General features: G+C 47.6%; 1 protein-coding gene across 17 annotated transcripts in view, besides 2 other annotated features; it reads left to right on the top strand.

Moving 5' to 3' along the window:
• Nucleotides 1-16,960, top strand: part of VOPP1 (VOPP1 WW domain binding protein) — a 137,539-nt gene that overhangs the window by 60,406 nt on the left and 60,173 nt on the right. For 14 of the 17 annotated variants that reach the window (XM_011515539.2, XM_011515546.3, XM_011515540.3 and 11 more), the window contains one exon: nucleotides 14,407-14,484. The exons of 2 other annotated variants lie outside the window; for them this stretch is intronic. In XM_011515539.2, coding sequence (XP_011513841.1) covers nucleotides 14,407-14,484 — 78 coding nt within the window. The remainder of the gene's footprint in view (nucleotides 1-14,406; nucleotides 14,485-16,960) is intronic. One more of the 17 variants, NM_001321247.2, reaches the window with a different exon arrangement.
• Nucleotides 177-326: an enhancer, noted in NCBI's record as "active region_26018". NCBI's record gives its function as "activates an Ori minimal core promoter by ATAC-STARR-seq in GM12878 lymphoblastoid cells {active_cell/tissue: GM12878}" and the evidence as "EXISTENCE:reporter gene assay evidence [ECO:0000049][PMID:35858748]".
• Nucleotides 990-1,039: an enhancer, noted in NCBI's record as "active region_26017". NCBI's record gives its function as "activates an Ori minimal core promoter by ATAC-STARR-seq in GM12878 lymphoblastoid cells {active_cell/tissue: GM12878}" and the evidence as "EXISTENCE:reporter gene assay evidence [ECO:0000049][PMID:35858748]".

Raw genomic sequence — 16,960 nt, 5'->3', positions numbered from 1 at the left:
TATACAAAGCCCCTCATGCTTTTTGATAGTAGCAGAATATTTCCTGGGGATGCCTCATCATTCATTTATACAGGTAGTGTCTATATTTAGGAGTTTTTGTTTTGTTTAACTATTGAAGGTTCTCAGTTCCTTGTCTGTAATTCTTATAAACCCAGTAAATCTGAGACGGGTGTCAGTTAATTTAGAAAGTTTATTTTACTAAGGTTGAAGATGTGCACCAGTGTCACAACCCCAGGAAGTCCTAACAACACGTGCCCAAGGCAGTTGGGGCACTGCTTGGTTTTATATATTTTAGGCAGACATGAGATATCATCAATATATGTAAGAAGTACATTGGTTCATCCGGAAAGGCAGGGACAACTGGAAGCAGGGAGAGGGCTTCCAGGTCACAGGTAGGTGAGGGACAAGTGGTTGCATTCTTTTGAGTTTCTGATAAGCCTTTCCAAAGGAGGCAATCAGAATATGCATCTATCTCAGTGAGCAGAGGATGACTTTGAATGGAATGGGAGGCAGGTTTGCCCTGAGGAGTTTCAGCTTGAATTTTCCTTTTAGCTTAGTGATTTGGGGATTCAAGATATTTTTCTTTCACATTCTAAAATTTTAAGCTGTGCTCCTAAACAAATTTTTAATAATTCACTTGGTAGCAAGAACATATTTGAGCAGACATGAGGCTATTTATAGTCTTTAAAAGTTCCGTTTGGTATGATGTTTCATATATTTTAATGCTGGCTGTATTACATGGAGTGAATTTGCAGAAATTGAATTGCTGAATCAAAGCTTATACTTATATTCTACTAAATACCGTCCGACTGCTCTCCCTGAGGGTCATCATGATAATAGGCTATCATTGCCTGGGAGCACCTGTTTCAAACTGTCCCCGCCAGCACTGTGTTAACATTTTAATCAGTTTCCTTTGTATGCTTTGAGTTCATATTGTTTCCATCTTTGCTGATTTCCCTTTCTGCTGCAACATCCCTTCTGTTTAAGTCAAAACCTTTACAAGGTTCTGAAACCAAGGTGGATACCTGGACTATGCATAGAGGAATGAGATGGGGTTGCTCTCAAGGTCATGTCTGGTGTAGAAGACAGAGGCCTCTAACAGTTAACCACAATATTGCACATGGTGAGAACTGTAGAAATGGGGGTCCTGCCAAGGGAGGAGCAGGACAGATTGGGGAGGGCAGGGGATGGTGTTGGGAGAGACCTCACAGGGCTGATCTTTGAAGCGGGGTGGAGCAGAGACTTTGGGAGGAGTGCAGGCATGGGAGCATGAAGGTGCAGGGTGCAGTGGGGACCATGGGGCTGGAGTTCAGGGTGCCTGGTGGATGGCAGGAGATGAGATGGGAAAAAGAGGGAGAAGCCTAGCAAGAAGAGTCTCAAACGCCGTCTGAGGGGCTGAGACTCCCTCCTGCATGCAGCATTGTGGCAGGCCAGGTCTCACCAACACAGGCCTCCATAACAAGTGTTTCAGTACTGACTGAGTGGTTAAGTTAAATATTAAAAGCTAAAAAAAAAAAAAAAAAAAAGCCAGTGCCCTTATATAAAGTCTGGGATGTAACAAAAGCCCACCAGGAGTTTTGCCTAGGCCTTTCCTGGGCCTTAAAGCATGACAAAATAATGAAGGAATTCTTAACATGACCCATTTAGGATTAAATAAGTTTTATTTGGTGTCTGAAGAAACTCCCCAGGCCTCCACAAACAAGTTTATTGCGGTCTGAATGAACTCCCCAAACCTCTTGTGATTTAGTAGGAGACAAGATAAGGGTAATCACCCCAGCACCTGGACCCATTTAGATTAAGTGAATTTACTGAGGCTCCAGAAGAAGGCCTTGAGGACTCAGACATTAGTTATAATGTAAAAGAAGTTAATCACTTATGTCTTTAGATGATGCACACTTACAGGTAGACATATAGCTTAGAAGGTATATAAGCTCTGGAAAACTTTGTAATTTTGAGTTGGTCTGGCCATAATTTCCAGGCCTTCTACCAGTAACTGGTTGCAGAAATAAAAATTCTCTTCCTCCCCAGTTCATCTGCATCTTATTATTGGGCCACAAGAAATAGCAGCCTGACCCTCATTTTGGTCTAGGAACAGTATGACGACACGGTCCTCTGGTCTAAAGGGGAGGAGGTTGTGTTTGTAGTAAAGGCAAGACAGAGTCCAACTCCTGTAGAAATAGGGCAGAGGAACAGGCGGTGGGCATGAAAAGCATCTCACAGAAGAGTCGATATAGAGGTAAAGGGAGTCAAATAAATCAGAGGTTTCTGGTTGGGAAGACAGAGAGAGACCATGAAAAGAATAGGTTCCGGGAAAGATTCAATAGAAGACTGAGCAGAGAATGTCATATATGCATGTGGAGTTTGGAGTTCTTGCAGAATACCCAGGAAATGGAGCCAGTGAGGAATTCACTTTTGCAGCAGAGGTGGAAGAGGGCAGGATGTAGTCCAGAGCTGGAATGTAGACTTAAGAGTTCTGAGCATTTGCTTATAACAGCTAACCAGCTGCTATAGTCTGAATATGTGTGTCCTTACAAAATTCCTATGTTGGAACCTAACACCCAATGTATTAGTATTAAGAGGTGGGGCCTTTGGGGAAGTGACTTAAGTCATGAGGGCTCTGTCCTCGTGAATGGGATTACAAAAGAGGTTGCAGGGAGCTCCCCTGCCCTCTTTTGCCCTGTGAGGACACAGCAGCAAGACATCATTTATGAAGCAGGGAGCCCTGACTAGATACTGAATCTGCTGGGCCTTGATCCTGGGCATCCCAGCCTCCAGAACTATGAGCAATCAATTTCTGTTGTTTATAAATTACCCAAGCTGTGGTATTTTATTATAACAGCCTGAATGGACTAAGACCAACTCAAGTAAAAATAGAGCTGAGAAAGTAAGCCAGGTGTGAACCTCAGTGTAGGTTTCCAGATTTTTTAGGTACTAGAATCTCATCTCCCTTCCTGATCTCATTGCCAAACTCAGCTCATTACTTTAGTATTTATCATGCCTGTGTGATTTCAATGATAGGAAATTTATTATAAAATTAAAATTGATAATAAATTTGAGACAGGGTCTTGCTCTGTCACCTAGGCTGGAACACAGTGGTGCAGTACTAGCTCACTGCAGCCTCAAACCCCTTGACTCAAGCGATCCTCTCACCTCAGCCTCTGAGTCGCTAGGACTATAGGCATATGCTACCACGTCTGGCTAATTTTAAAGATTTTTTTATAGAGACAGGATCTCACTATGAACTCATAGGCAGACTTCTGAGCTCATAGGCAGACTTCTGTTTTTCACTTTAGTATGGAAAATGAAAAACACCTTCCAGAGAAGGTGGTTTCTGGTAATAACTGTTTCTGAAAGAGACATATGGCCAGAATTTATTTTTTTAACCTTATATTTAGTCAACCAGAAACTAGGAGGATTGTTTTTCAGGATAGGCTTGAATAGAACTAATTTTAAATGATCAGCAGTTTACTGAAAGGAGAAAGAGGGAAAACCTCTACCCCAGAAACACAAAGGTGGAGTTTCAAAAACTCTGGGCCAGGTGCAGTGGCTCACACCTGTAATCCCAACACTTTTGGGCTAAGGCAAGAAGATCACTATGGCCAGGAGTTAGAGACCAGCCTGGCAACATAGTGAAACCTCATCTGTAGAAAAAATTTTTGTAATTAGCTGGGCGTGGTGGTGTGCACCTGTATTTTTAGCTACTTGGGAGGCTGATGTGAAGGGATCACTTAAGCCAAGGAATTTGAGGCTGCAGTGAGCTATGATTGCAGCATTGCACTCCAGCCTGGGTGACACAGTGAGACCTTGTGTCAAAACAAACAAAACAAAAAACTCCGTAGTTACCAAAGTTCAGCAGTAATTTAAGAGCTTCTTGGTCCATCTTACCTCACCTCTTCACTTTAACTCTGGGTGCATCTGGGCTCCAAGGCAGCAGCTCCTCAAGGGTTAAAATGGCAAAGAAATGAGCACTTTTTACCCCATTTGGTCTGCTAATATTAGTGATTTTAGTAAGTATTTGTAATGCTTTCTCCCATGGTAGAAATACAAGTAAAATTTCCCTAGGTAAATCCTGTATGCCACCCTGAATGCAACTAGTTTGGGTTTATACAAGTCAGAGAAGGTATTTTCTGGTGATAACTGTGTCTCTGAAGGAATGATTGACAGGGCAGCCATCTTCCCACCCTCAACGTCTCGGGCTCAGGCCTCATCAAAGCAGTGATGGCCCCCTCCTTAGAACCCAGAGATGTTTGACTTCGCCATGGGATGTGTTGACCAAATAAAAGTTGAAACATCATCAAAATGGGACCACACGTCTCAACACACAGGCACCTCCCTGCCCGTCAGGGAAACCATGTCAGGCCAGGAGGACAATTCTGACATCATGTGGATTACCAACTGAGGTTGACAGGAAAGAAAGAACCATGAGTTCATAGTCAGGTCTGTGAAGTTTTTGACTTGAAAGCAAGACAGATAAAATGGTCTAAAATCTTGTGTTTGGAAAGATGAAAGTTCTATTAAAAATGTTATTTTCTCGCAGACGTACAATATTACAAGTAATCAGATTATGCCTAGACTTTCATTGTGGTGGTATCTTGGGTGTTTGCATATGACCAAACTCATCAGATTGTACACAGCTCTTTGTATATCAAGTATATATCAATAAAGCTGTTAAAAAAAAATATACCTGCTCAGAAAAGCCAGAACAACACCCCCCACCCACCAGCTCACCCACCACATGTTCCTTCCCAGCACCAAGAAAAGAGTCACAGGCAAGAGGGCTCCAGATTTAGGTCTTTGGTTCTCAGCCCTGCCGTGTACTGAAATCTCCTGAGGAGTGTGTCCCAGCCAGCAGGCACGGGTGTTTTTAAAGCTGCTGGACAGTTCTGACGTGAGCCTGTGCTGAGAGCCACTACTTTCCACAGCACTCCTCACAGGTGTTTCTTGAGGCTGCTGGAGTTCTGCCTGAACCACCTCCTGGTTTGAGTTTTATCCACATGTATGGGCTGGGACTTCTGCTGCCTCATTCAAATGAGAGAGCTTTCCTGGGGTAGGTTGGATTCCTAAAGGCAAAGCCAGGATATGACCCAGGAGGTTATGCCATATTAAGGCTGGAAATGCATAAGTGTATTAAGTAATATTATAAAGAAGCTTGTGGGGCCGGGCACAGTGGCTCAAAGTGCCTGTGATCCCAGCAGTTTGAGAAGCTGAGGTGGGCAGATCACCTGAGTTTGGGAGTTCTAGACCAGCCTGACCAACATGGGTAAACCCCGTCTCTACTAAAAATACAAAAATTAGCCAGGCATGGCGGCGCACACCTGTAATCCCAGCTACTTGGGAGGCTGAGGCAGGAGAATCTCTTGAACCTGGGAGGCAGAGGCTGCAGTGAACCAAGATCGCACCATTGAACTTCAGCCTGGGCAACAAGAGCGAAGCTCCATCTCAAAAAAAAAAGAAGCTTGTGGCTGGGTGCAGTGGCTCATGCATGTAATCCCAGCACTTTAGGAGGCCAAGACAGGCGGATCACCTGAGGTCAGGAGTTTGAGACCAGCCTGGCCAACATGGCGAAACCCCGTCTCTACCAAAAATATAAAAAATTAGCTGGGCGTGGGGGCGCACACCTGTAATCCCAGCTTCTCGAGAGGCTGAGGCAGGAAAATCACTTGAACCCAAGAGGTGGAGGTTGCAGTGAGCCGAGATCGTGCCACTGCACTCCAGCCTGGGCCACAAGAGCAAAACTCCATCTCAAAAAATGGTGATGAGTAATACATTTTTGCGTAATAGACTTATCATTGGGAGAGATGAGTGTGAGGCAGTGATGTCATCTGAAAGGGAAGTGAGCTTGCAAGAGTTAGTGGGAGAATGTCCTGATGATCACAGATGACTTGTCTAGGAGGGAAGAGGCAGGAATGCCCTGGGCACCAGTGTGCCCAGAGACAAACAGCCCACCAGGCTGAGATTTTTAGAAGGACCTGGGTGAGAGATGGGAGGTGGGCTTGTCAGGACAGTCGCCAGAGCAATGGGGACCTCTCGAAGGCGTCAGGAAATTATTAAAAGGGTGTTTTGTGCTCGATTGAAATTAATTTGGGTTTGCCTGTCTAAGGTCCTATTGGGTTGGTCTTTTATGGGACCGTGAGACGGGGCATCAGTGATCTGACACTGTCCTGTTTTAATAGAGATGTTTGATAGCATCTCTGCTGAGATCAGTAATAGTCCAGTTAGGTGGATTTGTAACTGTTATAATAGCTGTATTTATAAAATTATGATTAGTAAAATCTCAACATAGAAGAAATGTCTCTAATGGAATTCACCATTGACTTAATCATCAATACTTTAGCATTGACTTGAATGAAAATAGGGAAGGCTTGCAATGTTGATCATATGTACAAGTTCCTTCCCTCCCTCCCTCCCTCCCTCCCTCCCTCCCTCCCTCCCTCCCTCCCTCCCTTCCTTCCTTCCTTTTTTCCTTCTTTCCTTCCCCCTCTCTCTTTCTAAATTAAGGTACAATTCACCTACCATAAAATGCACGTGCCCATTTTTTTAATCCCGATGCTGAAACCGATCTGCTCCATCTGAGTAGAGAGCATCTGGCTGTGAGTTGGGCTGAGCTCATGGGCTGTCACCTTTCCGTCTTACCACGTCACCCTCCTTTTCTGCGCACTCCTAGAGTCCTTGCAGCTAAGCCAGGACTCACTTCGTGGTGCAACCTTCTTTCTTTCCCTTTGGTTTTCTTTCTGCAGGCAGACTGCTGGACTTTGGGAAGGTCTCAGGTTTTGGATTTCAGCTTCAGGGCATGGAAAGATTCCTCTTCATTTTCAGGCCCCAGTCTCGTCTCTCCCTGACCCGACTGTGGATTATTGCACGTGGCCATTCTAAGTCATGTGTGTGATTGTCACAGAGAGGAGGAGCAAAGTTGCCTGGGTGGCCTTCAGCAGTCCTGGGTCCCAGCAAAACTTGACTCATATCCTTCATGTCAGTGACAGAAAACTGGAAGGAATAGTGAATGCCTTGAGTGACAGAATGAGGATCCAAAGGCTCTTGACAGGATAAAAGTAATGGGCCAGATTGCATAAGTTTACCCTTTTTATGGATAAGCATAAGGTCCTATATTTGGGTCCCAGACTGTACTGCATCCGTACAGCATGAGAAGACAGAACTTACTGAGAAGAACTTGGAAGTTTTGATGGAAGGTTTATTAGGATTTGGCTGTGTCACAGTTGTTAAAAAGGTTAATCCTGCCTGAAGCTCCAATAAGTGTGGAAATGAGAGTAAACTGGGATTCTTCCTAATAAAGAGAAACCATAATTTTGCCCAAGCTAGGCATTGTTTCCTGGAGAAGAGAAGGCTTGGGAAAATATGCGAGTCCTTTTGGACATTGGAAAGAAAGACTGGCTGTGTGAGTCATGAATCAGCCTAGTGGGGCCTGCCTTGGATTCTGCACAAGGAACAGTGCCCATGGTCATGGAAGGCACTTGCCCTGGGGCCTTGCTGCAGGGAGTGGCAGCGTCTGCCTGGGCAGGTTGGAGGGGAAGGTCAGTCACTGAATGGTCGGGTGGATTCCTTGATCCAGGTGAGGCACAGAGCTCTGCAGTCCTTACAAGGAGATTTGCTGGGGCACTGGGTGGCTAAGGACCGAGTCTTCCTCTGCTCCCCCAGAGGCTCATGTATCCTTTGGAGTTTTCTGCTGAAACTTTATAGGGTTCTGTGTTTAGTTTCTCTGGAGAGCCCAATTTCTCATAGGTAGCTAATTCGAAGGCCAGTGATAAGCCTGAATGTACTTCCTGCTTCTAAATTGGGAAGCCTCCTTCAAGTATGTGCTGCGGGCTCAGCTCTGTGGAGAATGCAGGTAATAATGAGTAGTGTAAAAAGCAGGGTTAGCTGGCAGGGGCAGTGTGATTGAGGAGAACAGACCAGCTGTCAAATTGAGAGACTGGGACTGGATGGGAGAAAGGAGCTGTTGTACCAGCAAGTGCTTAGTGAAGAGAAAGGTTTGCTGAGGGTTAATCCTGCAGGCAGGAGAAAGGATTGGATTCTCGAACTCCCCAAAAAAGTTACAGTCCCCACCAACTCTATCTCCAGACCCGCACCCTGAATATTTTACTCCGACTTTAGCTGCTCCACCAGATGCAGAGATGATTTTTCTATAAATCCTTTTAAATACAATTACTGCTAAAGTGGTGCTTAAGTTCAGGCTGCTGTAACAGCAATACCAGAGGCTGTGGGGCTTAAACAATGTGTGTTTATTTCTCACAGCTCTGGAGGCTGGAAGTCCAAGACCAAGGTTCCGTCAGCTCTGGTGTCTGTTGAGGGCTCTGTCCGTGGTTCGTAGGCACTGTCTTGTTCCATCCTCACGTGGTGGGGAGTGGAGCAAGCAGCAAGCCCTCTTCATGGCTCTTCTTACAGAGACCCCCAACCCTGTCACGAGGGCTTCACCTTGGTAACCGGATCACCTTCCAAAAGCCCCACCTTTTAACACCATCCCATTGCGGGGTAGCCTTTCAACACACCGGTCTAGGGGAGACACTTTCCATCCATAGCAACAACACATGGAAAGGTTTACAAACTGACTTTTGGCTTTTTTTCTTTTTTACATAGAAAGATTTTGTGACTTTACTAACACTGAACATTCCTTGACCTAGTATGTTATCCTTTCCTTCTCGTGAGATTTATGTAACCCAAAGGCTAAGAATTAAATGTGTCCAGTGGCCATACCCTCTTTCCTCCTGTGCAGGACTAAGCATAACACATGCTTCCTTCTTAGGCTCCAAAAACTCCCACAGCGACCACCTGTTGTTTGCATTTGTTTGTTGCTCTGACACCTGTCTAAATCGTGGCCCGTAGACTCTCAGACATACATTTCCTTTTACATGACGAATCCCAGGGACCGCAGGTCCTATCATTGAGATAAAAGGCAGGCACCCTTTTATCTCTATAATATACCTAATTACCTGTCAGCAGCTGCTCAGAGTGGACTACCCATTCTCTGACCTCAGCAGAAATCTACATTTGTATCCAGGGGTACAGTAAGGAATACTTGGCTAACAGGCAGTAAGTCCAGGGGCCCATGTCTGCTGCTATACGTGATCTTTTCATTCTTTTGAAGTATCATGTGTATTTCAGAGTCTCAGGACTATAATTAGATATGCTGTGGAGCGGATTTAGTTAAGAGTAATGTTTCTTCCTTTCTATGGCAAGTCTGACAGTTTATACATCTGGCACACAGAGAAGAACGAGATGAAAAACCCTTGCTGTTTTCTCCATCCTGATCTGTTCTGCAAAGGTGTAGTCTTGCGACGTCCTTGGGAGCAGCATTGCCATTCTGAGGCTTAGGGCAGTAGGAGTATTTGACTTGATGCATCCATGATAGGCATCTTCAGTGTGCTCGACTGCCTGGTAATGTTTACTACTTTAATTAAGCTCAGTGTTGCAGTGAATATCTCTTTGTAATTGCAGCTCTTTGGAACATCAGCAGGTGTGTGTGCTTAGGGCCCCAATTTACCAGCAGCTTCAAAAGGAAGAAAGCAGCAGACAGAAAAGGGGTAACAGTGTCAGCACCTGGGTAATTGTGTGCTCCTTCGAGTAGCTGGGGCCTGCCAGCATCCACAATGGGAGCCGGGCCAGCGCCGCAGATGAGCCGCAAGAATGCGGAGAGTGAATGGGTCTTCAGCTCATGGAAGGAGCATAAAGGGTTCCTGTGTTTTGAGAGAAGAAAGAGATAATCAGTTGACAGCGTGTATTTGCTGCTGGTGTTCCAAATTTGGATTCTGAAAAGTGAGCTAGAGCACATAGATGTTGTATCTTGCCAACAAAGAGGAACTTGTAATCCGTTATACTCCAAATATTCTAGGACGGGTATGTTCTCAGGCTGAGGGGTGTATGTGTGTTAATTCTGGACGAGGGCTCTACATATGTCTGAAAGCTGGTAGTCTGCTCTCTCCAGCATGGGAAATAGAATGCCATAGGGCTTAGGTTTCCAGGCAGCAAATGCTTCCTTACAAGTGTAAAGCTGAAAGGGAAGCATTTTAGCAAATTCAGCTCATGAAAAATGATTCAGTCACTAAATTTATTAGTGTATACCTGCTTTCCTCTTTTATATCAAGTGCATGGCTGCCAGCATTGGAGGGACCCAAGTATTAATACCTCTTAAGCATTGGCTGTGCTCAGAGCTAGAGCACAGATATAAGAGCTGTTACAGTCTGGAGTAAAACCCGAGAGAGAGACACACAGGAGCATCTTGGTGGCAGAGGGTGGTGGAGCAATGGGAGGGAACTAGCAGGAGCTCAGAGGATCATGGCCAGTTCCCCCTAAGCTGCAGGTGTATGTCGTCTCTGTTCTGCACCCCCCTTATTCCCCTCCCTCACCATCAGCACGTGCAGAGGAGGCTGTTCATGGCTAGGCAGTGAGCTGAGTGTCCAATTTGAGAGGGTATTCATGAGTGTTGTATCTTCTAGAATTTGATCACTTGAGGACAATATATAGTAGAATTAGGCGTAAAAATGGTAAGAGCCATTTGACTAAAGCCATTGCCACCTAGACAGAAGACAAGGACCGAAAGACCTTAGCCCAGCACTGTTAACAGCAGAAAGTGACCTTACAGTCAGGGAGACCTGAGCCTGAGGGCCACCCAGAATCTTCCACGAGGATGAATGGAGCCAGTCCTGGACACACCAGAAGACTGAGCCTGTCCACTTTTAACTTGGGGCTTCCCTGGCAGCAGCTGTGAAGAAGTGTGCCTTATGTCACAGCCTGGCACACATAGATTTTTGTGCATGTGTGTGGATGTCTGCTGAAAACAGCTAATGTTGTGGGGGCATCCGCCATTCACTACAAATCGACGCCGTCCTTTCACCTCATATCGCATCTTTATTATATGTCTCTATGATTAAGTTACCTGCTAATTGTAGCGCATTGCTGACATCATATGATACAGGTTTTTCTGGAAATCTTTCTGGTCAGTATGCAGTTCCAAGCTGAACAAAGAACCATGCAAGCACCATTAAAGAGTGGTTGCTGAGTTCCTGTCTGTGGGTCCTGTCTCAGGGACCTCCTGTCATTTGCCCAAGGGTCTGTTTTTTTCACATTGTCTCTGTTACCATGGTCTTTGAAATTTCCACAGCAGGTTATAAAAGCAGGGCCAAAGAAGAATAGGAAAATCAAGTGGGGATAGAGAAGGTGACCCTTTGGTCATGAAAGGCTCCATGTTACTGGAGAGGCAGCATCTGTGCAAAATGCTTTCCTGAAATGCTGGCCAAGTCCACTCTTCGCTTCTGCAGACAGTGACCTGGGCTGGAGGTGCAACATCTCTAACGTCTTGCTTCTAAGCTTATTTCAAACATGGCACTAATAATACTTTATCTTGTATGTGGATGTTTTGAAAATTAACAAGACGTTTGTGAAGCATTTAGCCTGGTGTAAGATAAGAAGTGCTCATAACCTGTAAGCTGTGTTCTTCTTGACTCTGTGGCTGTGTAGTAAATCACTATAAACGTAGCAGACTGAAACAGCACACCCTTATTACTGCAGAGCTCTGTAGATCTCAAGTCTGGGAAAGCACATTTGGGTTCTGGGCTCAGGGCCACCTCACAAGGCTGAGATTAAGCAGTGGGCTGCACTGCATTCTCACCTGGAGCTTGGAGTCCTCCGAATTGATTTGGGTTGTTGGCAGAATTCGGTTTCTTGTGGTTGTAGGATTGAGGTCCTGCTGGGATTGCTGTTGGTGCCTGCAGACCACACTCAGTCCTGGCTACATGGCCCTCTCACGTGGCTGCTATTAATACTATTTCAAAGCCAGCAGGAGAATCTCCAGTCTGCAAGGGCAGAGACTTAGATAACACACCATCTCGTTGAATGTTCTGTGATTGTGGGAGTGGCCATCTGGTATTCACAGGGTCCTGCCCACTGAAGAGGAGGGGATTATGCAGGGTGGGTTCTCTGAGGGGTGCAATTCTTCGGGCCATGGTTGCATTCTGCCTTCCACACTCCTAAACTCACCATGAACCTCACTGGAGTGCTGAGGACGCCTGTCTTTGCACATTCGTGAGAGGAAACGGTCCCACCTCTTTTAGTTTACAGTTAATTGTCTGAACTCCATCCACCCTAAAAGCAAGAAGTCCTTCATCTCCCTCGACTGCTCCCTTCTCTTCCACACACACAGGCACACACACATTGATCAACCGACACCAGTGAGATTCTAGGGGAAGGCCTCGGAGAATTGCAGAAGGTACTGTTTGTGCAGGGCGCTGGCCTGCAGAAACAGCCAGACCAGGTGTCTCACTCCCCCTCACACCCTGTGCTCCTGCACTCATCTCCAGCATGCAGCCGTGGAACCAGGGGTACCAGCATTCCCCCGTCCCGAGCACTGAGACCCTGTGTCAGCTTCCCTCATTGGCAGACTGGATTCCTGCGTGCTCTCTTTTCAGACGTCACCTCCTGCACATGTCCTCCCTGAGCACCCTGCTGCCTCGTGCTCTCAACCTGCCGGTGCCGGCTCCATTTTTCACCACAGAAGAACTTATTACTGTCTAACACAGTTTATGTTTTCTCGTTTACTATTTTCTCCCCCTTCTAGAGAGAAAGCTCCTCCCCAGCAGGGGTTTCCTCTGGGTTTTCCCTGCTCCACCCTCAGGAAAGCACAGAGCAGGCTCCTAGTAGCCCCTTGGTGGATGCATGGAGTGTCAGGAGTGCAAGTGGCACGATCTTGGCTCACTGCAACCTCTGCCTCCTGGGTTCAAGCAGTTCTTCTACCTCAGTTCCCTGAGTAGCCGGGACTACAGGTGCACACACTATGCCCAGCTAATTTTTGTATTTTTAGTAGAGACAGGGTTTCACCATGTTGGCCAGGCTGGTCTCGAACTCCTGACCTCAAGTGGTCCACCTGCCTTGGCCTCCCAAAGTGCTGAGATTACAGGTGTGAGCCACTGCACCCGGCCAGGACCAGCAACATTCTTGAGCACTCATTTAGGTAACTCTCAGTGGGAGCCAATGGGAGCATTTCATGGAAATCACAACACTTTGGGTACTGGGTAGGGATTCATGTTCATGGGCCAGGGGAAGACTGTACATGAATGCTGCCATATTGTCTGTGGAATGGCGTGGGGGTGGAGTGGGGAGGGAGTGTCTCTCAGCCCAGTTTGTCCTTGAAACAATAGAGGATTTAGCTGCCGTTGGGTGCGGGGTGTTTACAAAGAGGCAGCACCACCTCCAGGAGCTTTGGGCCTACTGGGTGCACAACCAGGGAAGAGCAGCTTTGGAGCTTGGGTCTGCTGAGTTCCAGGCCGCTGTTATCTCACTTTGCATCTTAACTAGTTTTCTACACATACTTCTACATAAAACAAGCCTATTTGTACTGCAATAATCTACACATTCAGTGCCCAAGACCTTAGGCTGAATTGTATATTTCTCCCAGGTACTTTTTTTTAAAGGAAAAAAACTGGCAGGAACCTAGATCACAATTAGGTAATGGTTTAATATTGTAGAGAAGTGGCCCTCCCCACATCCCTGCCAATCCATTGCTGCTTGGGCTCGAAACGCTCTAGTGAAAACTTCTCTGTAAAACGGAAGGGTTTGCACTTTCATGGCATCTTCTCTCTTCAAGGAGGACGTGGGGTTGGGGCAGGGCAGGGATGTCGAGGGCACCGAGTGCCTCACCTGAGTGCCTCACCTGCCCATGCTCAGGCAGCTCTCTGGGAACAGCTTCTGAGCACACCCCTGAGAGCTGTGGCCTGCCAGGGGCCCGGAAACCTCAGACACGTTGGGGGATGAGGGGAGGGAGGCAGCGTGAGCAGTGATAGTGCCATCAGCACTTTATATGGTGAGAAAGGCCTTAAAACTTAAGTCAGTACTGTGCAGGGCCCCTGCAGTTCCACTCATTTTGCTGATGGAGAAACTGAGACTCGCCAGAAGTCCCCACAACTAGTAAGTGGCAGGACCAGGACCACACCTGCAATTTATCTAACTCCACAGCCTCTGCTTTTAGCCTCAGTGGATGTGGTGGGGTATTTCCATCTTTTCCCCGTAGTCGGGGACTGAAGACAGCAGGGATGAGCACCACGTGGGTGCTGGGCTCCTGTGGAGCCTCCTCCCAGCAGCAGTCCTGGTAGGCTTAATGTCTGTCTTTGGTTGTGCCACCTCCCGGAAGGAATCCATTGGATTTGGCACACAGGATGCTTGTTAAATGCAGGGCTTTGCATCACCCTGACTGTGCCCACCTCAGCACCTTGCTTTGGGCCACAGGCTGATGTCATTCTGCTCTGCTGGTTCTGTGAAATGCAGTGGAGGCAGTTCTGTCCTTTTTGCTCTTACTGATTTCTTCCTTCAAGAATGATTACATTGAAGCCCAGCCTGGGCCGCATGGCTGGTCCGGTGGCTGCTTCCAATTCAGTGCTGACCAGCCTGTGCCTCTCTCCACAGATGCCGCTCCTACGAGGACTGCTGTGGCTCCAGGTGCTGTGTGCGGGCCCTCTCCATACAGAGGCTGTGGTACTTCTGGTAGGTCACAACTCCTCCTTGTTCCCTACCCCGAGAGCTCTGCCCCCCCCCCCCCCCCATCAGTGTTGTCACAGCCTTGGATGCGACACCTTCACTTGGGTGGTGGCCTCAAGGACAGCCTTGGTCAGGAAAATGGGTATGTTTGGGTTGGCTTCATGACCGGCAGTTGCACGCATGGGGTTTGTGGGAAGCCTGTTTTTGTTTTCACGGATTTTGGAGTGGGAAGAAGAGCTCTGCTTCTGGTAAGGTGGCTGGACAACAGCCTCATCCTTCAGCAGCTCCTCGGCCAGTTTCTGAAATGGAGCCAAGGCTGATTGTCTTGAAGAATCAGAAAATCACCCAACTGAGACTGGCAGGCGATCGAGTTTTCATTGTCCAGACTCTTCCCCATCCATCTTGTGTTGGCTGACTCTTCGCTTTCAAGATAGGCAGCCTGCACCCAGCTGCCTCCAGCTCCTCTGGGGCGCATACGGAGCAGTCCAAAGTCTGCTCCTTGAGTAGGAACTGGTTCCATGCCTGCAGCATCCTGGAAGGGTGGGAGCACATTCCATGGGGGGAGCCTCCTGTGGGCGGGAGCCTCAGGACGCCTGCTGGAGTGCCCCGAGCATCTGTTAGACTCTGGAGATGACAGGTATTGCTTCAGATGAGAGGGTGGCAGAGCACGTGTGGGAAAGGATTTATAAACCAAAGCAGCATTTCTTGTACCCACCTGCTCTTCTTCTCCCATGCAGTGGTGATGCCCTTCAGTGAACTTCAAAAAAGTTTAGAGTTTGCTCTCTGCATGATGCAAGCTTTTTTATGATGTTAAGATTTTGACTTTACTGACCTTTTGAGGCTTTAAGACCTTACTGAGCATGTGACAGCAGCCACCTGAATTTTTATGCGGTTTTATCTTTCTCCCTTAACACCTGTGCCCAGGGTTTGATTAGGGAAGCCTATAGGGAGTGGGGACTCCACGTGTTGGGTGACGAGGATGTTCTTTAATAGTGATGCCTTCTTTCATCATCACCTCACCACCTCCTTGGCCTCACCTGACCTTACAGCTGCTGGCCAGGCCTCCCTTAGGACCAGCCCGGTAAGCCCCACCTAGGTGTACCCCCCTAACAAGGGAGCTGGTGTCAGGTCCCCACACTGCAGAGGTGCCATTTCCTAAAACTCTGTAACAGAAGAATAATTGTTGTAGCCTAAGACTGTTCAAAGGTTAACGGCTCTGTGTGCATCTCCAGATTGAGGGGGCCAGTACCAGAGACGGGGAGGGCCCAGTGTCAGGGGCAAGACCCAGCTTCAGGGCAGGCCTTGCTCCGGAGCCTCCTCCTGGGACCTTGGAGTGGAAGGAGGCGGACCGTCTGGAGTGTGAAACCCTGAACTGTGAACGGGCTTGTAAGGATTTTGGGTTGGTCTAAAGCACTAGATGAATGATGATGAGGGCGTGAGAATGCTTGTAAAAAATGAAAAAGCTGGTCAGCGTTCAGGCATTGGATGATCAAAAAGAAGAGAAGTTTGAGAAAGTCCAGCTGAACTTTTAGGGCCTGGCAGCTTCTGTGGAGCTGCCCAGAAGCTGTAGCTGCACTGGCAGCCAGGTGCTTCCTAGCTGCTGGCCAGGGTCACCTGTCAGAGGCAGGACACCTTGGCGAGGCAGCACACGACGACTTGGTGGGCCCCATTTGGAGAAGCTCCCACAAGTCCCATTGCATAAGGTCAGGCTGTTGGAAGATCTGAGTGCCAGATGCCAGAAGATGGGGCTGAGTCATTAATGTTGAGATTCCGACACAGGGTTCCAAGCTGGCGTTGTAGCCAGGGAGCACCTGGGGGTGTGAGCTTACAGTGCCCCACCCGAAATACAAAGGGCACCTGGGTTCACCCCATGCATTTTCTCTCTCAATCAACATCGGGTCTGATATACACCAGGCATTGTGCTGGGGTTTTATGGAGAGGCTTTAGGCAGGCAGACTCCTGAAGAAGATGATGTCTAAGCAGATAATGAGGTGTGGATACTTTCAAGCCAGAGCACAGAACTTCTGAAGCCAGAAAAGTTGGAGAAAGCTACAAAGCTTTTGACTGGGTCGTCAGAGAGGGCGTTTGGGGCAGAGGGACAGCACCTTGCAGGGCCAGAGTGTAAGAAGAGTGGATGTGTTAAAAGGTGATGGGAAGCTTCTGTGGTGAGGATGAGCATTTGGTGGACAGGAGTGGCGGCAGGATGGGAGGGAGGGGCTGCTCTGCTGCCTGGGCCCCACAACGTTTGAAGGTGTCTCCTGACCATAAAACAAAGGTTTTGAAAGAGAATGCCTTCAGAGTTCCTGCCAACTCCAAGATCTTGAGGATCTTTTCACCAAGGAGGTCTGGATGGAATCAAGAGTAGAGAAGGTGGACCGATGGCACCCTTGAGTGGACTCAGAAAGCACAGTGGGCCCGAGTGAGAACTAGCCTAGGTGGCACTGTGGGTGAGTCCACAGCAGGGTCCCATGCGGAGTCCTGA

This window comes from Homo sapiens, chromosome 7 (assembly GCF_000001405.40).
Source record: "Homo sapiens chromosome 7, GRCh38.p14 Primary Assembly".
Lineage (NCBI taxonomy): Eukaryota > Metazoa > Chordata > Mammalia > Primates > Hominidae > Homo > Homo sapiens.
The sequence above is the reverse complement of the archived record's forward strand: the minus strand, read 5'-3'. Positions and strand labels throughout refer to the sequence as shown.